The sequence below is a fragment of the Homo sapiens genome, chromosome 1 (assembly GCF_000001405.40).
Source record: "Homo sapiens chromosome 1, GRCh38.p14 Primary Assembly".
Classification (NCBI taxonomy): domain Eukaryota; kingdom Metazoa; phylum Chordata; class Mammalia; order Primates; family Hominidae; genus Homo; species Homo sapiens.
The window spans coordinates 246,859,230-246,882,725 of NC_000001.11; the positions used below are offsets into that span (position 1 = coordinate 246,859,230).

The following is a 23,496-nucleotide window of genomic DNA, read 5'->3' on the forward strand; positions in this document are numbered from 1 at the left end:
ATGTAAGTATGTAGTTTTACAGCTTTAGAGTTAGGAGTTACCTTTAAATAACCTTGTTAAAAACGTGTGTAGGGTAAGAAACATACAAATAGGTTCAGTTTTCTGACCCACCAATTCTAGGTGAAGTCTCTCCCATTTACTAGTGTTCCCCTGGCCCTCTTGTTAACCAAACTGGATTCTAAGTGTTTGTCAGTATAGTCCACCATGCTCTGTGTGACATGGGAGCAGGTGCCATTTCTACTTGACTCACTGTTTGATCTTCAACACCTAGAATAAACACAGTAGGAGCTAACAGGAATACATACTTCAGGAACTCAAAACATTTTTTGATCACTAAAATAATATTTTTTTTCTTTTTGAGACAGGGTCTCATTCTCTTGCCTGGGCTGGAGTTCAGTGGCGCAATCACGGCTCACTGCATCCCCAACCTCGACCTCCTGGGTCCAAGCGATCCTCCCCTCTCAGTGTCCTGAGTAGCTAGGAATACAAGTGCATGCTATCGTGCCCAGCTAATTTTTTTATATTTTTTGTAGAGATGGGGTCTCCCTATGTTGTCTAGGCTGGTCTCGAACTCCTGGGCTCCCGAAGTGCTGGTATTACAGGCGTGAGCCACTTTACCCAGCCTGAACATTTATTTTCATTGTCCAGTGATTATTTTGGAGGTGAGGACAGAGAGTAGAATGAAATTCTTAATTTCTGAGAATTATAGAAACTTAAAACTGGTGGATAAGTTAAAAATTGCAATAATTTGGCAGGGCGCGGTGGCTCACGCCTGTAATCCCAGCACTCTGGGAGTCCGAGGCAGGCAGATCACGAGGTCAGGAGTTCGAGACCAGCCTGGCCAATATGGTGAAACCCCGTCTCTACTAAAAATACAAAAATTAGCCAGTCATGGTGGGGGGCGACTATAGTCCCAGCTACTCTGGAGGCTGAGGCAGAAGAACTGCTTGAACCTGGTTGGGGGGGGGGCGGAGGTTGCAGTGAGCCGAGATCACGCCACTGCACTCCAGCCTGGGCAACAGAGTGAGACTCTGTCTCAAAAATTAAATAAATAAAAATTGCAATAATTTGTTCTGTAAAGTTATTTCTCATAGCTACTGGAAGGACTTTCAAGTCAGACTATGGCATCTTACATTTCTTTCCTTAAATGTTACTATTCTTTTCTAAATTTCACGGCCAAATAAAAAATGTAACACATAAGTTCTCCTCTGAAATCTCGTACCTACTCATGAAACAATGTAAGCCACACTTTCTAAGCTGAAGGAGTAAGGTCTGTGCATTATGTCTAGGAACTAGTATACTGTGAGCATATAATATTTAACTCTCATGCTTTCCTTCTGAGATAGGGTCTTGCTCTGTCACGCAGGCTAAAGTACAGTGGTGCAATCATGACTCACTGAGGTTTCAAACTTCTGAACACTCCCACCATGCCTGGCTAATTTTTAAATTTCTATTTTGTAAAGACAGGGCCTCGCTATGTTGACCAGGCTGGTCTTGAACTCCTGGGCTCAAGCAATCCTCCAGCCTCAGCCTCCCAAAGTGCTGAGATTAACTAGCATGAGCCACAGTACCTGGCTAGGATGCTTTTCTTATGGTGGAAAAAATTCTATTATAAACTTTATTGAGGGACATTAATAACAATTTTGAGTATTCAGAAATGAGTTCTTACCCATTTGTTTCTGTAGGTCTGAAGGAGTTACTTCTGATGCAAATACATCTTTATCTCCATCCTTTTCAGTTTGTTCAGTTACATTAGTAGTTAGTGCAGTGGAAGAGCTTTTGGGCTTAGAGGCCGTGAAAACAGTCTCTTCAAGGTCTTCCGGTGACGGTGCATCCTGATACTCTAAGGTAGTCTCATCGGATGTGATTGAAACACTGCTGTTTCCTTTGCTCACATCCAGTTTCTCTAAACTTTGTGACCCCTCATCCATTTCTTGATGCTCCTTTTCAGGGCTGTTCAGGAAAAAAGATGTGGTCCTATCTTTGCTCTTCAGCCATTCAGTTTCCACTGGAACTGCACATTTTTTAGGTGTAGTAAATACTTCTAATTTGCTATCATCTGCAGCCTGTAAAGTAAGATTTTGAAAAGAAAAAAATTAGTAAATATCACAGTTAAGTCTAGTCCTAAGCTACCCATCCCAATCATACCCATACTTTCTTTGTTGTTTTTACCCAAATTCTCTCCTTAATAAAAATTCATTTATTCTAAATCCATTCTCTTCTAGTACGTAAAAGTTAATGGTGGCTAATGTTTCCCTAATTGGTAATATACCAGTATTTTCAGAAGACTACAACACAGAACAGGCTAGATGACCAATAATCACTGAAAGGTTCCTATTAACCTACAGTGGACCTCAAGACACACCCTCAAAAACATATAACTAGTTAGAAACAACACAATATAAGGTAAAAACAAAGATAAAAGAAGGACTAAAAATTAGGAGGTTTGAATCCTACTCCCAATTCTACCACCATACATCTAGCTGACTACAGCCAACTTACTTGGTGCTTCCGAGTCCTATTTATCTGTAAGATGATGGGTTTGGCTTAGCCAATGGCCCTAGTGTTTCTTTCAGAACTAACCTTTTCTTATTTCATTACTAGCTACAAGATTATATACAAAAATCTATAGTGGTATTTAAAAACTTGATTTATCTAACTTTTTACTTGTCAGAGCTAATACATTCTTATTAAAAAATGTCTTTTCTCCCAATTATTATCAAACTTACCCCAGGAATCCATTTTGGGTGGACATCTTCTTCCACAAATGAAATTCTAGTTTCTTTAAGTCGTTGAGGAGACCTTCCAGGTGATGGAGAGGGAGATGCTAAAGGTGTTGATCGAAGAGTAGACCTCAGGATGGACTGAGGAGTGAACTCAGAAAATCCAGAAGTAGTAACTGACATGGCCAAACTTTTAGCTTTCTATAGTAAAGAGCAAATGGAATTACACCATTAAAAGTGCTTATAGGCCGGGCGCGGTGGCTCACGCCTGTAATCCCTGCACTTTGGGAGGCAGAGGCAGGCGGATCACCAGGTCAGGAGATCGAGACCATCCTGGCTAACACGGTGAAACCCCGTCTCTACTAAAAATACAAAAAATTAGGCAGGCGGGGTGGCGGGCGCCTGTAGTCCCAGCTACTTGGGAGGCTGAGGCAGGAGAATGGCATGAACCCGGGAGGTGGAGCTTGCAGTGAGCCGAGATTGCGCCACTGCACTCCAGCCTGGGCGACAGAGCAAGACTCCGTCTCAAAAAAAAAAAAAAGTGCTTATATAAAAACAGATGGGGTCAACTGAGTCACAATAGTGGTTATATTCTCATCTCATCTCCAATAAACATATCAATAGAAATATTTATTCCAGATTTCTGCAAAGAAAATACAAAATTCTTCCAGAGCTTTTTATACGTAAGTCTACGAAACATAAAACTGCATCCATCTTTCTAAAAGCATTATTTCCAACTTAAATTCAACTAAAAAAGTGCCAATTAGTAAGATAAATTACTTAAATTATAGAATTATACAAATCTAATTACAGAAAACTACAGTAAGACTGACTGTAGTGTTTCAGAAAAAAAATTTCGTCACACGAATCCAATAATAACCAAATTATGTATCAGAATCCTCTGAAGATTTCGTATAATGAATACAAATAATCTGAAATTAGCATGTAAATTTATTTAGTAGAGATAATTCCTTCACTTGGCCTCTAAAGGCCTAGTAAACAAATTACTGAATCCCATTAGATCATAATAAATTCTGTTAGACATGTTACAAGATCATAACAATTCTTTTTTCTAGACTATTCTGGCAGCAGGTATAAAATTCCTCCAATTTCATTTCATTTGAACCTAGCTGTAGAGAATACAAAGTGTGATTTATTTTTGACAAATGAAAAAATACTATACTGAATATTTTAAATTATTGAAACCTAATCTTTTCAACTTATTTTAATAAGTATTTTAGGAAGAGCACTTATTGAGGTATCTTTTATTCAACTTGAAAAATAAGGATTCCCTAGCTTCACTATAAATGCTGGATATCCAAACAGAGAACCCAGGGACAATGGGGAGGGGTGAGGGAGAAATAAAGCTTCTGGGTTTCAATCCAGAACATTAGTCAAGGGGCTAGGGAGATAGTATGTTTAAAAAAAAAAAAACAAAACTTTAAAAATGGAAAGGTTTAAAAAGGCCACCACTAGCAGATATCACAAGTTGAGTGCTGTGATTTCTCAGCTAATAACTTAGGAGATGGGAAAAGGCAGTTTAAAGAGGGATAAACCAAAGTAGCAAGGAGTAACAGTTTTGTCAAAGAATTTAAATAAATACAAATAAACCAAAGAACTAAATAGCATTTGATAGAAGAAATAACAGCATAATGATATCAGAAATGGAGCTTACATAAAAATGAAATAAAAACAAACTCAAGAACCTGAAAGTATTACAAAGGACAAAGGCAAATTCACAACCACACAGAACCCTATATTACCTTTAAGAAAATAATGTTAACTTTAAGCAGGAAGGGATAAATTTAATTAGCTCCGTTTTTAGAAGATGTGAAAACATAAAAGGATGCTTAAAGCATTTCCCAGCACTCCCCAAGCGTATCAGTTATAAATTGCTTATTTTTCTCCTTGCTACTTGAAAAGTAAGAGCCATCTAGTTTGATTGTGAACGCTAGATGCGTAAATACTAACCTTAACTACAAGAGGAGTTTCAAGCAAATGTAATTCTGAAGCCCTGGAGATGGCCTGAGGCGATCCTTTTAATTGCGAACTTGAGGGCAGTGAACGGGATACTAGGTACAAAGGAGATTTCATGGAGCTTTGCTGAATAAACTCCGAACACTGAGAAGGCCGGGGGACAGGCTGAACAACCAAATCTAGCAGTCTGTAATCAGAATGCGCATTTATTGAGTTATACTGAAAAAACAAAAGAATTTAGTATCCCATTTAATCAGACCTCTATATTCACTGGTAACTATGATAGCCACATGCAAATACAGTCAAGTATATTAATGTAATCCAAAGTGCTACCATGCATTCAAAAAGTCAGAAAATTATTCATCGCAAAACAGAATTAAGAACTGCACATAGCAACTGATTTTTAAAAAGAGTTTGCGTCGTCCTCCTTCCCTTTACCTATATTTACTGAGCTCTTACTATGTGCCTGGCATTTATTTTCAAATGAAGATGAACTGCCAATGATTTAAAATACTAAAGAAAACAGGACAAGGCTTCCCTGGCAATCTATTTACTAAAATTCATTAACATGCAAAATATCCATTCACCTACATGTAATATATATAATGAATATTGGTTCATTTTGCCTTTATGGTTCTGATTACAATAAAGACTAGACTGACTTGGGAGGCCGAGGCGGGTGGATCATGAGGTCAGGAGATCGAGACCATCCTGGCTAACAAGGTGAAACCCCGTCTCTACTAAAAATACAAAAAAAAAAATTAGCCGGGCGCGGTGGCGGGCGCCTGTAGTCCCAGCTACTCGGGAGGCTGAGGCAGGAGAATGGCGTGAACCCGGGAAGCGGAGCTTGCAGTGAGCCGAGATTGCGCCACTGCAGTCCGCAGTCCGACCTGGGCGACAGAGCGAGACTCCGTCTCAAAAAAAAAAAAAAAAAAAAAAAAAAAAAAAAAAAAAAAAAAAGACTAGACTGACAACCCACACCCACCACCACAACCAAAAGTTAATTTTTTCAAGTCAATGAGTTTGGTGACAAAGTACAACTTTAAGATTCTACTACAAGGTTTTCCGTAATGTCCTAGTCCCAATGATAAAACTGATCCCACTGATTACTTGTACTGAGCATGTATAATCCAAGTAAGTTTTAAAGCTTAATTTACAGATAAATTTAAACTCAAAAGTCGGGTTTTCAGGTGGTAATTTTTGGTGGACCATTTGCACAGGTCACTCTCTTCTCGATTTCCTAATAAACAGTCTATCTTATGGTTGTATTTCCTAGTGGTAAAAACAATCCCTTTTTATTTCCCCCAAATGCCAAAGTGGCTCACCTGAGAATAACCAGAAAAGGAGAGTATGCTTTGGAGCCCAGAAATAAAAACTTGTAGTTGCAGTACCTTCCTTGTCATTCTATCTATCAAATGAGAGTTTTGCTATTAGGAGCGGTAGACCAACACAGGTGATAATGGGGAAATATTTCAATGTCTTCCCACTTGTTACTCTGTATCAAACACAGCTTTTAGATTTCCACCAAACCAAGAATATCCAATCAGGCTGCTAGACATTTCTTTTCTTCTAGATTCTCTTCTTTCTCTATCTTGTTTGCATTTAAATTCTGTACTTGGATTCGATCCAAACTTGGAAAACAGTTTGCTCACTTTTATACTGAGCTATCCCAAAGGAACACTGTTAAATGTTTTGCATTGTGTTAATATTTATGTTTAAGGCACCTATTTATGAATGAATGCTTCTCAAAAGCAAGGACTGTGCAACAAAAGCTACCTACCAAGTCAAAGCAAAACTTCTGTATCATCAAGACTTAATAGTTTAAAGGTTCTGAGAAATCTTTTTAAGGTATTTTCTAAATGAAATGTTAAATATTGCATTAGGTCTCAGGTCTTCAACCCTGAGACCAAATATTCTTTCAGAACTAACCTTTTCTGATTTCATTACTATCTGCAAGGTTATTTTCAAAAATCTATAGTGGTATTTAAAAAATTGATTTATGTAACTTTTTACTTGTTAGAGCTAATTTTTTTTTACCATAATCCATATAAAGAATGCATCCTATATCACATAAAAATAAAACATCAATTACATAAATTAGCACTTCAGCCTTACTATATGATGTACCCACGGATGTTATCTATTCTGCCTTATTTCATTGCAGGCTATACTGTCTACCCAGTAATGCAAACTCAGCATGAAAAACACAGAAGGTAAATATTCAAAACTCAACTGGCTCTCTTACATCTGAGTTAACACTGGCTTTAAAAAATGCTCATAATACTTCTTTAAGGGCCTCAGGCCATTAATCAAAGGCCTTTCAACTTCTATTATTGCTCCCCGCAACCTCAGAGCCATTAAATTACAAAAAGACCAAGAAAAGGGGACTTGCAGAAAAAAAAATCCGAACTATTGGTAGAAAAAAAGAATGTCGGTAATAACGACTTTCATTTAAAATATCTTCTTTCCATTTAAAATACCATCTTACCAGAGTAAATAAAGGGAAACAACCTAACTAAATTTAGTCCAAAAAAAGAAAAATCCTTTCAAGGTTTAACATATGTCCATTAAACTACACTCTGTACTTCTGGCCTCAGTTGTTTGTATGACCTTATCTCAAGTATCTTTTTCTTAGCATCAAAAATTCAGAGTCTTGTAATGATTATTTATAATCATTATAAATACTTTAAACAATGTAATTTTGTCTTTGATAAAACAATCAAAAATTTCCAAAGATCCTGGGCATATTAAGGACAAAGAATCAATACATGAAGAGACATACTCTGTTCTCTGTGGTACATAATTATGAACACTTTTCAACTAACCAATGCTCGTAAGTAAATACTTGCAATCACAATTTCATCTTGGATACAAAACTTCAACTTAACACCACAGGTAAGATGTAAACGTGCTGCATCTGAAGCAACACAAGACATTTTAGTAGGCACTGTTCAACAGAAGAAAGCTTCAATGAGCTACCCAAGATTAATCTGTAATTAAGTATAAAAACAACCCTCATTTAGAGGTCTACTAACAAGCAGGTAACAAGGAAAGTAAGTTAATAGTTTGCTCATGAGACAAACTTCACTCCTGTCCACTAAGCAGTCTGAAATTATTGAACAAAAATTTTAAGTATACTACTACCTGATGTAAAATTTCCTAAAATTACTGCTGCCCAAAGTATAATAAAAAGCAAACATTAAAATATTCATTTAATAATTTAAAAGTCTATAAAATGTTAAAGATAATTAAAAATTACAATTGTAACTATCATCTAACATTGTGTCTCTAAGAATGATTTAATAAACTCTTACCTAGAAATTTTTTGTGATGCTTTTGAAATTGGTGTTCCAAAAAATGCCTCAGGCAGCTCTGGAGCTGGGAGCGAATACACTATAGGAGATGGTTCTTCTATTTTAGAACTATGAAAATAAAAATTTAACTTCTGATGTATCACAAGGAGCACTGATAACAAGTGGATGAGATGGGAGAACAGAGGGTTTTCATTCGTTTTACTTTGTACAGTTCTGCATTGCTTACAAATAATAATGAACATTTCACTTTTAAAGGTTTTTAAAAATTCTTCTCAGAAACATAGCCAACATAAAGAGTTTTTCTTTTTTACATACACTAATAAACTTAGGCAAAGAGAGTGGATTGTTGATGAACGCTGTTGATGTCCAGTAAAGATTAACAAGCAGCATGACTATGAAACGTGTAAGAAAACATACCTATTGAAAGGTGTGGTGCTATTTATAGGTTCTTTGCTTGCCCAAACTTCTCCAATTTTAGATAACACATTGTTGATGAAAACAGATCTTGTCAACACAGTTCCTGTTACAACTTGCTTTGGAACTGCTGATAATGGTTTGGGTCTAGAAACTGTAAAATGAAGAACGCTGGAATTAAGTGCATCTCTAACAAACGGGAATTTAATAAAAGCATATGAAAGAATGATTACACCCCCCCCCCCACACACACACACACACACATTACGTGGTAATACTAGCTAAAAATTTTAATTATATATATATAATTAATTTTTTTTCTTTTAGACCAGTCTTGCTGTGTCACTCAAGCTGGAGGGCAGTGGCATGATCTCGGCTCACTGCACCCTCTGCCTCCTGGGTTCAAGCGATTCTCCTGCCTCAGCCTCCCAAGTAGATGGGATTACAGGCATGGCCACCAAGCCCGGCTAATTTTTTTTTTTTTTTTTTGAGACGGAGTCTTGCTCTGTAGCCCAGGCTGGAGTGCAGTGGCACAATCTTGGCTCACTGCAACCTCTGCCTGCCAGACTCAAGTGATTTTCCTGCCTTAGCCTCCCGAGTAGCTGGGACTACAGGAATGTGCCACCACGCTAATTTTTGTATTCTAAAGTAAAGGGTTTCACCATGTTGGCCAGGCTGGTCTTGAACTCCTGACCTCATGTGATCCACCCGCCTTGGCCTCCCAAAGTGCTGGGATTACAGGCGTGAGCCACTGCGCCTGGCAATTTTTGTATTTTTAGTAGAGACAGGGTTTCACCATGTTGGCCAGACTGGTCTCAAACTCCGGGCCTCAAGTGATCCTCCCTCCTCGGCCTCTCAAAGTGCTGGGATAGAGGTGTGAGCCACCGGCCTGGCCTACATTTTGTTTCATTATAGCTATGCTGGATTTAGGAAGTTGGGCTTTTGGTAAGTGGTAAAAAAAAAAAAAAAAAAAGTTATTCTTTGTGTTTTCTAGAAGTTGGACATGTGCCTTCAACTGAAATAGGAGTTCTTTCATTATGCATACACTAGTAAATAAACAGTCAAATCTTCTAAGAAAGGCTTACATTTCTTGGGTTACAGAGCAGCCAATAAAAAAGTACCACGTGATGAATGAGTACAGGTCTACCTCATTTTATTGTGCTTTGCTTCATTGTGTGTGTGTTTTTTGTTTTTTTTTTTTTTTTGAGATGGAGTCTCGCTCTGTCACCCAGGTTGGAGTGCAGTGGTGTGATCTCGGCTCACTGCAAGTTCTGCCTCCCGGGTTCACGCCATTCTCCTGCCTCAGCCTGCTGAGTAGCTGGGACTACAGGCGCCCGCCACCATGCCTGGCTAACTTTTTCTATTTTTAGTAGAGACGGGGTTTCACCATGTTGGCCAGGATGGTCTCGATCTCCTGACCTCGTGATCCGCCCGCCTTGGCCTCCCAAAGTGCTGGATTACAGGCGTGAGCCACCACGCCCGGCCGTGTGTTTTGTTTTTTTAAACAAATTGAAGGTCTGTGGCAACCCTGTGTCCAGCAAGTCTACTGGCACCATTTTTCCAACAGCGTGTACTTACTCCACTGACTAACTGTTCCCCCGCGTCTCTCCCTTTCCCCGAGGACCTCCCTTATTCCTTGAGACTGACAATATCCAAAGCCAACTAATAACCCTACAAAGACCTCAAGTGTTCATGTGAAAGGAGGAGTCACATGTCTAGGACTTTAAATCAAAAGCTAGACCTCTTATGCCAGTTAGCCAAGTTGTAAATGCAAAAAAGAACCTGAAGGAAATTAAAAGTGCTACGTCAGTGAACACATGAATGGAGAAGTCAATGCCTGGCTTCAAAGGACAGGGTGACTCTGCTGTTAGTGGTTAATGTAGCTGATGACTTTAAATTAAAGGCAATCACCATTCCAAAATTCCTAAGGCCCTTAAAAATGATGGGAAATCTACTATGCCTGTCTTCTATCAATGGAAAAAGCCTAGATGAAAACACATCTGTTGACAGCATGGTTTACCGAATATTTTAAGCCTACTGTTGAGAACTGTTCAGAAAAAAAAAAAAGTCTTTTCAAATATTACTGCTCACTGATAATGCCCCTGGTCACCCAGGAGCCCTGATGATGTACAGGGAGACGAATGCTGTTAGCAGGCATGAAAACACAACATCCATTCTGTAACCCTGGATCACAGTAATCGCAATTTTCAAGATATAATTTAGAAATACATTTCATAAAGCTATAGCTGTCACAGATAGTGATTCCTCTGAGAGATCCGAACAAAGTCCTTTGAAAACCTTCTGGAAAGGATTCACCATTCTAGATGCCATTCAGCACATTCATAATTCCTGGGAGGAGTCAAACTATGCACATTAAAAGGAGTTTGTAAGAAGGTGATTCCATCTTTCATGAATAACTTTTGAGGGCTTCAAGACTTCAGTGGAGAAAACAACTGCAGATATGGGGGAAAGAGCAAGAGAACTAGAATGAGAAGCAGAGCCTAGGCCAGGCATGATGGCTCATGCCTGTAATCCCAGTACTTTTGGAGGCCAAGGTGGGAGGATCACTTGAGGCCATGAGTTTGAGAATAGCCTGGGCGACATAGTGAGGCCCTCTCTACAAAAAATACCCAGGCACGGTTGCAGTCTCAGCCACTCGGAAAGCTGAGGCAGGAGGATCACTTGAGCTCAGAAGGTCAAGGCTACAATGAGCTATGATTATACCACTGTACTAGAGCATCTGTGACAGACAAAGACCTTGTCTCTTAAAAAAACAAAAACAGACTAAAGATGTGATGAATTGCTGTAATCTCATGATAAAACATGAATAAATGAGGAATTGCTTCTTACAGATAGGCAAACAAGTGGTTTCTTGAGACAGAATCTACAGTGTTGAAATGATAAAGTGTAAACAGATAGAGGGTCTCCAGGGATTATAGGAATTTTACATTTAAAAGAGAAAAGTATAATATGTAAGCAATATTTTAATTACTAGCTCCTCTAAAGAGGAATCTAGTATAAATACTGTACCCTAAACTTTCTAGCTAAAAGAGGGTATAAAACCTCAAAAAAAAAAAAAAAAAGCCCTAGGCTATTTAATTTCTCAGGGACAGGGGTGTCCTTCCCAGGACAGGAAAATGGCTGTGTATCAAATACCTCCTCCTCAGAACCAAAAATTCTTGAAAATGGCCGGATTCTGTCACATATAAATTCCCAATTCGGGTATTTTAACAAAGCCTTTTTATAAAAAGCTACAAGAGCTGGAGTCAGACCCTTTTAAAGAAGACAAACAATACAACTGAGCCTTCGAAAAACTAAAAACAACCAAGCAAACAAAAAGTGACTGCGCTCCCACTGTAGCCTTGCTTAAGTTGCCAAACCTTTTGACTTATCTGTCTCATAAAAGGCAGGGAACAGCTAGCCAGGGGAGCACTTACCCAAATGCTAGGACCACTAAAAAAGGTGGTGGCTCATTTTTTTCTAACCAACTTGACATGGTGGCCACCAAAAGGCCCCCATGTCTTAGGACAGTGGTTACTACTTGCCTATTAGTGAGAAAAGCTTAAAAACAAACCATGACTCAGACATTAATGGTCTAGGTCCTCAGTTATCCAGAGTGCTAAAAACAGAGACACCACTCGCTTACTGATGGGAGGATGTTACAATAAAAAGTTAAATTAAGAGGCAGCCACATCAAGGTGTGCCAGATCCTTACTTAACCCTGCCATGTTTCTTTCCACCTCCCAGGAACTGCTCCCACACAAATACTCAACCACTACTGATAAAATGTATTCTAGTCAAAAGGACCTAAAAAACAAACCCTTTCAGAACTCTCAAGTTAACAAAGCCTTTCTTCGTAAATCAGAGTAACATCACAGAAAGGGGCCCAGAAAAACAAGGTATACAGTGCTGTCCTCACTTGGAGTTAAAGAGGCTAACAGCCTACCTCTGTGAACCCTGACTAGATGAGCCTCATCTTCAGGACAGGCTAAGGCCATCATGTCTCCACAGACTCTAAGTATGCTTTCTCTGTAATCCATGCCTACAGTGCATTTTTTTTTGAGGCCTCCTGACTGCAGACTATAAGGAGGTTAATAATATTAAAAACATTACAGCTATTAGAGGCAGCAGTATAGCTACCTAAAAGGGTAGCAGTGGCCTACTGCCAGGGTCACAAAAAAATAAAAAATAAAAATTTGAGGTTATTAAAAAATAATAACAACCTAAAGACACAGCTACTAAAAAGACAACACAAACATGTGAACTTTACAAATGACCCTGATCCCAGACATCCTACTCCACAAGTCCCAGCCTCAGTGTTCACCTCAGGAGTTAAAGCCAAACGCAAAGGGTATTTTCCACACTTAGATTCAGAAAGATGAACTATTAATGACAAAAAAAAAAAAAAAAAAAGAACCTAGATTCCCAAAAACCTAGGGTGGTCTCTAACTAAATATGGTCATAGATCATCACATTATGGTAAATAACAAAACAAAACAAACCTTACGCAATTAGTTACTAAAGATACCTGATCTAAAAGATAAAACAGATCAAGGATCTAACAGGTGTCTCCAATTTGTACAAAATAATACTCAGATCGGGCTCCCTTGTGACTCCACTAACCCAAGCTGTCCAGCTGGGGTGGCACGCCAGGAAAAGACTGACAAGAAGACTTTACAGTGATGCCCCAGGACCCAAAAACTTCAGGTACCTACTAGTGTAGACACCTTTACTGGCTAAATAAAAGGGATACACCCTTGTCACACACAAAAAGACAAATGAGGTGGTCAGAGCTTTACTCAAAGACATCATCTTGAGGTTCTGGCTTACTCCAACCAATCCAGAGTGACAACAGAACTGCCTTCATTTACAAAGTTACTTAGGGGGTGTCCTCTGCCTTGGAAATTAAATAGAGGAGGTTACACATAACTTAAGAAACCTCATTCATCTAAAAAGGTCAAGCATAGTAATAAAACATAAGGATCACGCTAGCCAAACTATGCCAGGAAACTCAAAAACTGACTAAAGCTCCTTCCCATCGCACTATCATGGGTGCTGAAAGGGAATGGGACTTGGCCCTTTCCAATCACTATATAGAAGAGCTTGCTTGGCATGATTGAACCTTCGAAGTGTGCTGCTGTCGAGACCAAGAGGGCAGTAAAACATGCTGTAGATTTTTAAAAATACAAACTCTTAAAACATGTGAAACCACAAACTTCTAGTTCCCACTGAGGTTAAGCTTCACCCATATTAACCTAGAGACCGGGTTCACCTTAAGACTCAAAAATCCAAATCGCCTCCAGACCAACTAAACTGTTTGGACCATGTATTATTAAGCACTCACTCTTCTCCTAAGTTTCAGGGGCTCAGACCCTAAAAGCCATCATTCCTGAGTGAATCCTGCACCAGAGCCCTCAGATCAGGCGCTACTAGGTTCGACTTATTCCTATAAGCCAGTCTCTGATCTCAAGCTTCTCTTCTGGGGAAGGGATATTACATGTTAAGTAAATGTGCCCTTGCCATACTCTTGATATATTCAAACTTTCTCCCTTATAGAACTCTCTATACTCATTACTCTTCTGTAAAAGAAAAAAATCTTAACCGGTGATAAATCACCATATAAAAAAATAGACTCTTTCTCCCTGTGCTGTTTAGTCCCTTTTATTACTGTGGCTGATGGTCTCTGGAAAGACAATTCACTAGTCAATTTCTCCTGCATCACAGCAAAGGGAAAGAATCCGTCCCAATACTAAATATACTAGAGACAATACACTAGTCAATTTCTCCTGCATCATAGCGAAGGGAAAGAATCCGTCCCAATACTAAATGTACTAGAGACAATACACTAGTCAATTTCTCCTGCATCACAGTGAAGGGAAAGAATCCGTCCCAATAATAAATATACTAGAGACAATACACTAGTCAATTTCTCCTGCATCATAGCAAAGGGAAAGAATCTGTCCCAATACTAAATATACTAGAGACAATACACTAAGTCGATTTCTCTTGCATCACAGCAAAGGGAAAGAATCTGTCCTATACTGAATATACTAGAGACACCCACAAGCCTAGCCTGTCCAAGCCATGCAATTTGTGGTGACCCCAAACTTCACTTTCACCCCACAAAACTGGAGCAAGCTCCCCTTTCCTGCAGTTATCCCCTCCACAAAAACGTTCCCTGTGTCACCTTGACTAACACATGTATAGTAAATACTACTTACTGTATAAGTCCTACTAAACTATTCAACGATAGGTGAAACATACATACAGGCACTAGGATATTCGTCCAACACAGACTTACTACGCTGACATAAGATCTGACCCAACAGGGAGGTACCCGCTTGCTGCTTCTGACACTGCCACCTGCCACCTCAATACAACTCACTCCTGTCCTGACACAATCACCATTAATATTTTATTATTAAAAATATTTAGTATTTTATAATCTTTTTTAATATTAGAGACAACCCACTAAATAAAACTCATGACAAAGGGTGCCAAACTCCAGTTTCTAGTATATACAAGTAGACATGCCAACAAATTACGATAAAATTTCAGCTGACTAAAGAGACTGAGACCATCTTTGAGGTGGGCCTCTGTCTCCCTTGCATAAAGATGACACCTAAAGCCAAATAACATTAACTATTAAATGTCTCTATCTTCAGACAAATACGTGTCCCTCTGAGGCATGTATTCCTCTACATGCCAAGCAAACAAAAAGTGACTGCTGCTCCCACTGTAGCCTTGCTTAACTTGCTAAACCTTTTGACTTATCTGTCCCATAAAAGGAAGGGAACAGCTAGCTGGGGGAGCACTTACCCAAATGCTAGGACCACTAAAAAGGGTGGTGGCTCATTTTTCTAACCAACTTGACATGGTGGTCATGAAACGGCCACCCAAAAAAATATAAAACCCACTGCCAGGCTGCCTTGGATTCCTTCCCTTCACCCTGTTTAACATTAACTTATCCCTACGTCTTGAACCTCTCAATAAAACTTGTATCTTCCAAATTAAAAAAAATTCAACTACAGCTGGTCTTACTACAATACCAGCCATTACAACCTATCCTGAGAGATCCTGAAATATATTTAAATTTAGCATCTAAAAATTTTCACTCCTTTAACATCTCCAGACACATATCCCTGAACAACATTAAAAAGTTACAAAAAAACCTGACCTCCGGCTCTCAGCCCTCAAGAATGAGGAGTGACATACTTCTAGGGGGAAAATTTGTAAACAGACAGAGTCTCCCAGGATTATAGAAATTTAATCAACAATCAGCCTGTTTTACAGCCTCCTGCTATTTAGCCAGTTTCTTCCTAAACCCCATGTAAAATATTAGTCACCTACTTTGTTAAAACCATCTCCTGACAGGCCAACAACTTATATTATAGATAAACCAGAATGAACTTTCTTTACCACCATACTGAAGTCTCCACCCCAGGAGGTGCTACGACTTCCTTACCATGACATGCGACCTATATACTGACATAGTAACTAAGTCTACACAACTGGGACCACTCCCTTACATACAATGACACAACCTCTCCCCTCTCCATAAAACCCTCCTGTCACCTTCCCTCAGCTGGACACTCCCTTACATACAATGACACAACCTCTCCCCTCTCCATAAAACCCTCCTGTCACCTTCCCTCAGCTGGACACTGCTTTGGAGAATCCTCCCCGGTGTTGTCCTCCTTACTTAGAAGCCAAATAATAAAAAGTCCGATTGACCAAAACCTGCCTTCTTGTAGAGTAGTTTGTTACTCACTAGGCATTTAGAAAATTACATAAACTTAAGATGACAGGGCAGAGGCAGGGTTTGAGAGGAGTGACTCATTTTGAAAGAAGTTCTATGGCTAAAATGCTATCAAATGGTATCACATGCTACAGAGAAACTCTAGTGGAAGGAAGAGTAAATTGACATGGCCAACTTCACTGTGTCATCGTAAGAAACTGTCACAGCCACCTCAACCTTCAGTAGTCACCATGCTGATCAGTCAGCAGCCATCAACATTGAGACAAGATCCTTTATTAGCAAAAGGATTACGACTCACAGAAGGCTCAGATGATCCTTAGCATTTTTTAGCAATATTGCATTTCAAAATTAAGGTATGTACACTGGTTTTAAGAATAATGCTACTGCACACTTAGAAGTATAGTGTAAACATTATGCAATGGGAAACCAAAACTTCAGAGGACTAGCTTTCTCGTGATAGTCACTTCATTGCAGTGATCTGGAACCAAACCAGCAATATCTCCAAGGCATGCCTGTATGTGTTAGCGAAAGTAGCTAAATTTAAGGTGGTTTCAGAAAAGTAATCATTCAGTATCTTTTTTGATCCAATAGATTATGATATTCTTCAATGAAATTCTTACCTAATCGAAAAACTGATGATGTTGACAGATGATAAGGCTTAGCTCGTTCAATGGCTAATTTTCGATGGACTCTAGGAAGGATTTTTCCATACTGGTCTAATATAGAATTTCGAGCCAGTGATCTCTCCCGCAAACGAGGATCACGATCATTCTATTAAACATCAAAATTGGTAAAAAATTTAACCTTCAAAATGTTAGGTGCTGTAATTCTATATTTACCATTTAAAATAAAACTATGAATATCCAAAAAATCTTCCCCCTACCTACATATCCATTTTTCCAAACCAAGAACTTCATCCACATATCTAATTTTTTTATCAATCCTTACCCATCAATAAATTCCAAATCTCGCTACCAAGCCTTGATTCTTCACAATTAATAAAAACAATGGTTATTAAGCATCCATGTGTCAGGCAACATTCTACTTCACACACATCTCTGTGCATCCTCAAAACAACCTCACAAGGAGATTTTATCATTTTACAGTTGATAAAAGCAAGACTCAGAGTGTGTCCCAAGCACACAGAGTAAATGAAGAATTAGTCTGACCCTTGAAGTCCAATGATCTTTGTACTATATAACCCTTACTGCTGGCCTCTACGTCTTCCTCTACCACACAATGATCTTTGTACTATGTAACTCCTACTGCTGGCCTCTACATCTTCCTCTTGTTTTCCCTGAGTGAAATGGCAATATTGTAGGCAGACATCAGAACATAAATGGCATACGTAAAAGAATTACGTGGTAATACCCTGTTCCCAATTCTGTTACAGAGATGAACTGAGGATTCTCCAAGTTCAAGGTAATGCTAGGCACAGTGGTTACCAAACTGTAAGCTCTTATATAACAACCAAAAAAGCCTCCAGTTTTCCTTATTCTCTTATCCCCCATAATAAGACAACTTTAATCGTACCATAACATTAATCTTCAGAGTTTGGTTCAGCTTCAAGGCAGGCACATAATTGGCACGCTGCAAATGGTGCACTAAAAGGAATTCATGATTCTGAACGCTGGCACTGGACTGCAAAAATTTCACTAAACATTCCTAAAAAGAACAAAATAGATTGTAAACTACCAATTTATCTTGAATTTCTGACAAGTTTACATCGGTAAGTAATTACCTGCTCAGTGTCTGTAAATGGTAACTTCAGTAAATCTTCCATCAAGCCCATTTCCTGACAGACTTCATACATGTGCTTCAGTAACTCCTCTATATTCAACCTATTGCAATGTTGCCGCAAAAAATTCCAGGCTTCAACCATACACCTGAAAGCAGTATTTATCAAAGTTTAGTTTTAGAAAAAGCTATTTAAATGTACAAAACAAGAAATCTACATGTAGAATTTCAAAGATACTTTGTAAAGTATCTTTATAAATAATTGAAAAGTACTTTAAAAATTTGTTGAATACTAAGTACTGCATAATAATCTTGCTAAGAATGTCAGTAAAATGACACGTTTAAAGAATTTTATGCTGCTTTTTAGATATAAAATAATAAAAAAGCAAAGTAGACAAAAATTCAAAGAAGACAAAAAACTAATGTGGCCTGGATAGAGCTGAATGGTTGGTGTGGTGTGACAGAGGAACATCAGGTTTTTAAGAAGTGACACTCAGTGGGAAGCGTGCGAAAGACTGAGATCTATAGATGGAAACAAGCACGCTGTGTCCATGAGGAAGGGAAGAGTAGAGCTTGGTAGTAGATGTTTTTTGGTTGATTTGCAGCAAGATCAGATTGGAGAACCTGAGTTAAATTTGGCAGTCTCAGACACCATGCAGAGGTGCTAAGATGTCCTTTGTGGGCCATAAGATCATTTAAATGAAGGAGTGTTTCTTACACAGAAGTCTTCCAGAATCAGGTAGGAGAATTTTTTTACTGTTATTTATTTATTTTTATTTTTTTTAATGCCAGTGTTCAACTCATACCCCACCGACAGGATTATCTTGAAGGTTCACTTGAGCATATCTATAAAAATTATAATTAAATATAGGTCTTGACCCAATGATCCCAATGCAAAGAATACAGTCTACAGAAACACCAGCAAAAATTGCAAAAGATTAAGTATAAGAATATACAGTAAGAGCCAGGCATAATGGCTCATGCCTGTAATCCCAACACTTTGGGAGGCCAGGGTGGGCAGATCACTTGAGCCTAGGAGTTCAAGACCAACCTGGGCAACGTGGTGAGACCCTAACTACAAAAAAATACAAAAATTAGCTGGGCATGGTGGTGTGTGCCTGTAGTCCCAGCTATTCAGTAGGCTAAGGTGGGAGGATTGCTTGATCCTAGGAGGTCAAGGCTGCAGTGAGCTATGATCATGCTACTGCACTCCAGCCTGGCAGACAGAGCAAGATTCTGTCTCAAAAAAAAAAAAAAAAAAAAAAAAAAAAATACAGTGAAACAATGAATTACGATGTAGCCCTATATAAGGAAAATATGTATTAACTTGGAAAATCATTAGTTTTTTAAAAAGCAAGTTAAAAACAGTATGAAAATGACAAAACATTAACCAATAAAACTTGTTTATATATTTATTTAAGTAGAAAAGAAAAAGTTCTGAAGATATACACTAAGAATGGTAATGATCAATCTGGCAGTTAAAATTTTTGGAGGCTGACAACTTCCAAGGCAGAATAAAAAATGGCAAGATTGCACTGCCCTATACGTTCTGTGAATACAAAGTTACTTGGGGAAGCAAATGGTACCCACTGTTGGCAGATCAGGGCCATCTGTTACTTTTGTTGTTCTGGAACTAGAGTATTTCCACATGCTCCACAGGGCTTATACAGGCCAACAACTCAAGAAGTACAATGTGTAGAGGTATTCCCTAAAAATTTACATCTGAAATTGCCTCGTGCTTCTCTTACTAGACGGTGGAATCATTGTAACTTGGGTGTAGAAGAGTGTTCATCTGCGTGTGTTCATGTGCACAGAAATATAGTCATTTTTCCCTAAACCAAAATCTAGAAACGTTAAAAGCAGAACATTTTTGTATAAAGAAAAATAGAGGATAAGATGAACATTTCATTATTAAATCTCACAACAAGGTTGATTTCCCTAATGCATACAAAGCGGCTATAAATCAGTAAGAAAAATCCCAACAACACAGGAAAAAAAGCCAAAGATTTTAATAGGCAGGTCACAAAAGAAATAGCTCTTTAAAAAAAGATACATTCCATTATTATAGTGAGACCAAACATATTAAAACTACCATTTTTACCCATGAGATGAAGAGACAAAAAATATCTGGTACACTGTGTTGATAAAAGACATAGCATACGGTAATTGAGAGGAGGATTAAGTTGTCATAACCTTGATGGAGGGTAATTTGCCCTACTTGTCAAAATTAAACTACCAAAATTACGAGGGCAAACATCCTTTCACCCTAGGATTTTATTCTATAAATTGGCACATGTGCATTACGTGGTTACTCATCATAGCATTGTTTAAAATGGCTAAAGGTTGAAACAACCTAAATGTTCATTACAGAGAACTATTAATAATTAGGGCAAGGTGTGGCAGCTCAAGCCTGTAATCCCAGCACTTTGGGAGACCGAGACAGGTGGATCAATCATCTGAGGTCAGGAGTTTGAGACCAGCCTGGCCAACATGGCAAAACCCTGTTGCTACTAAGAATACAAAAATTAGCAAGGCGTGGTGGTGCATGCCTGTAATCCCAGCTACTTGCGAGACTGAGGCAGGAAAATCGGCTTGAACCCAGGAGGCAGAGGTTGCAGTGAGCCAAAACCGCTCCACTAACTCCAGCCTGGGTGACAAAGTGAGACTCTGTTCCCCCAACCCCGCCAAAAAAAAAGGGAGAACTAATTTAAAATAAAATGGTACAGCCATCCAAATAATGAACTACTATGCAATAGTTAAAAAGCAAATCCTTTATGTAATTATAAAATTAGCACCAAACTAAAGTGAAAAAAGTATACTGCAGAAGGGTGTACAGTTAGAAGGGTATACGGTATGCTGTTTTTATTTGTTAAAAGGGTTTAGTGGGAGAGGACATATAGGCATTTGTTGACATTTGTTTAGAAGATCTTAGGAAGAATACACTAGAAGTTATTCACACTACTGGGTACTAAGAGGAAACAGGCAGTTGGGAATTCACTGTGTCATCATTCTTAGCTCTTAAACACTGAAGCATGTAAATAGCTTATTATCAAAAACAATATGTTATTTGTTATATATATATATAAAATATATAATAGGCATTATATATTTTTAAAGTTTTCCACTTTAGGCAGGGTGTGGTGGCTCACGCCTGTAATCCCAGCACTTTGGGAGCCCGAGGCGGGCAGATCACGAGGTCAGGAATTCGAGGCCAGCCTGACCAACATGGTAAAAACCCCGTCTCTACTAAAATTACAAAAATTAGCTGGTCATGGTGGCACGTGCCTATAATCCCAGCTATTCAGGAGCCTGAGGCAGGAGAATCACTTGAACCCGGGAGGTGGAGGTTACAGTGAGCCGAGATCGCGCCACTGCACTCCATCCAGCCTGGCAGACAGAGTGAGACTCCAGCTCAAAAAAAAAAAAAAAAAAAATTCCACTTTAAACTGATACCTACACCCAGTTGATCAGACAAACTAGCAGGAGTAAGATAAACTTAATTTATGATTTACCAAGTATTAATTTGATAATAATATAGACAGTATTTTTAACAACAAATGACAGATGATAATGTTCTTTCCCAGTTTCCCCCATAGCAGGAAAATACTTTCAACTTCAAGAAATCCATTGCCAACATTTAACAAATGTTTTAAAACAAAGTCTCCAAATTCTCACTATTCTCTTGCTTCCTACAGAAGACAATAATGATGCTAGGAAGAACAATAAGAAAATTAATTTATGAAAGGCTAGGCTAGCATGTTGGCAGTAAAAGACATAGAAGTCATTTTAATAAGGAATGCATGGGGGTTCTTGGCAATACAGCAAAGACAGACTGAAAACCCATCCTGTGGCAAACTCTCTAAACATGCTAGACCAAATATAAATATGCATTATGAAATGCACGGTGGAGACCACAATACAAAAAGACATTCAAGAGAGGTAAACAACCAACCACTGATTTCTAGTGACTGGAGTAAAGTAAAAAGACTGGGGAAATATACATACAGAATATAAATAAAAAAGGTTATTTGTGTGCCTACATTAACAAGTATTCATAATAAAGAAGGTTACCATATAATAATTTTAAAAGTCATTTTAAAAAAGAACAAATTAAAACTCTTATGTACCTAATATTCAAAATACAAAAAGCTGGCAATATTGTGAGGAACTGAGACATCCACCATTAGCGTCAGCAACTCTGCATACTTAGTAACTTACAAAACAGACTAGGAAAAAAAATTATTCAGGACACAGAAAGATTAAAACCATGCAACGAACAAACTTGATCATGGGGACAAATATATTTGACATTTCACCTATTAAATGGAGAATACATTGAGTACTTATCAGTGGGTAAATCAAGTCTTACCAAAAAAATTTTTTTTAAATAGAAGCAGGGTCAGCTGGGCAAGGAGGTTCATACCTGTAATCCCAGCACTTTGGGAGGCCGAGGCGGGCGGATCACCTGAGGTCAGGAGTTCAAGACCAGCCTGACCAACATGGGTGAAACCCTGTCTCTACTAAAAATACAAAAATTAGGTGGGCATGATGGCGGGCACCTGTAATCCCAGCTACTCAGGAGGCTGAGGCAGGAGAATCGCTTGAACCTGGGAGGCAGAGGTTGCAGTGAGCCAAGATCGCACCACTGCACCCCAGCCTGGGTAACAGAGCAAGGCTCCGTCTCAAAAAAAAAAACCAAAAAAAAAAACAAAAAAAAAAGAAGAAGGGTCTCCTACGTTGCCCGGCCTGATCCTGGGCTCAAGTAATCCTCCTACCTTGGCCTCCCAAAGTGCTGGGATTACAGGCATGAGCCACCGTGCCTGGCCTTTATTATTATTACTTTTTTTTTTGTTTTTTTTTTTGAGATGGAGTCTTGCTCTGTCGCCCAGGCTGGAGTGCAATGGCACCATCTCTGCTCACTGCAAGCTCCGCCTCCTGGGTTCACGCCATTCTCCTGCCTCAGCCTCCTGAGTAGCTGGGACTACAGGCGTGCACCACCTCGCCCAGCTAATTTTTTGTATTTTTAGTAGAGATGGGGTTTCACCGTGTTAGCCAGGATGGTCTCGATCTCCTGACCTCGTGATCCACCCGCCTCAGCCTCCCAAAGTGCTGGGATTACAGGCATGAGCCACCGCACCTGGCCTATTATTACTTTTAAACAGAGCAAGTCTTAGCAAATTTTAAAGGTCAGGTACCACATGGATCACATTATGTGATTACAAAACAATTTAGAAACCAACAACACAATTTTTAAAACCCATTATTTGTAAATTAAAACTTCTAAATCATAGATAGGGAAAATAAACAACCGTAATGAAAATTTAAAGATACTTAGAACAGAATCATAATGAAACTGTGGGATGCCGCTAAGGTGCTATGTGGGACATTCGATATATACTTTTGTATTACAAAGAAAAAAGGCTGAAAATGAAATCATTATCCAACCTGAGTTAAAAGGACAGCAAAATAAACCCACCTAACAAAGAGGAAAAATTATGCCTATACAAAAGGATTTTTTGGCTTTCTTGTACATTTATGATCCTAAGACTGAATAATCAATGTTAGTAGCTGA

At 38.7% G+C, this 23,496-nt stretch overlaps 1 protein-coding gene across 9 annotated transcripts in view, besides 2 other annotated features; it reads right to left on the reverse strand.

The window, feature by feature from the left end:
* The window catches only part of AHCTF1 (AT-hook containing transcription factor 1), a 92,851-nt gene that overhangs the window by 20,132 nt on the left and 49,223 nt on the right, over nucleotides 1-23,496 (reverse strand). For all 9 annotated transcript variants that reach the window (NR_136586.2, NM_001323343.2, NM_001323342.2 and 6 more), the window contains exons 22-29: nucleotides 17,929-18,073; nucleotides 17,721-17,852; nucleotides 16,808-16,958; nucleotides 8,432-8,582; nucleotides 8,015-8,122; nucleotides 4,695-4,887; nucleotides 2,730-2,924; nucleotides 1,670-2,066 (exon numbers count right to left, since the gene is read on the reverse strand). Coding sequence is in view for 8 of the 9 variants with exons in the window: in NM_001323343.2 (NP_001310272.1) it covers nucleotides 1,670-2,066; nucleotides 2,730-2,924; nucleotides 4,695-4,887; nucleotides 8,015-8,122; nucleotides 8,432-8,582; nucleotides 16,808-16,958; nucleotides 17,721-17,852; nucleotides 17,929-18,073 (1,472 nt within the window). In the remaining variant the exon portion in view is untranslated. The remainder of the gene's footprint in view (nucleotides 1-1,669; nucleotides 2,067-2,729; nucleotides 2,925-4,694; nucleotides 4,888-8,014; nucleotides 8,123-8,431; nucleotides 8,583-16,807; nucleotides 16,959-17,720; nucleotides 17,853-17,928; nucleotides 18,074-23,496) is intronic.
* Nucleotides 17,324-17,524: a silencer, noted in NCBI's record as "peak825 fragment used in MPRA reporter construct". NCBI's record gives its function as "represses an SCP1 promoter by STARR-seq MPRAs in K562 erythroleukemia cells {active_cell/tissue: K562}" and the evidence as "EXISTENCE:reporter gene assay evidence [ECO:0000049][PMID:32103011]".
* Nucleotides 19,384-19,584: a silencer, noted in NCBI's record as "peak826 fragment used in MPRA reporter construct". NCBI's record gives its function as "represses an SCP1 promoter by STARR-seq MPRAs in K562 erythroleukemia cells {active_cell/tissue: K562}" and the evidence as "EXISTENCE:reporter gene assay evidence [ECO:0000049][PMID:32103011]".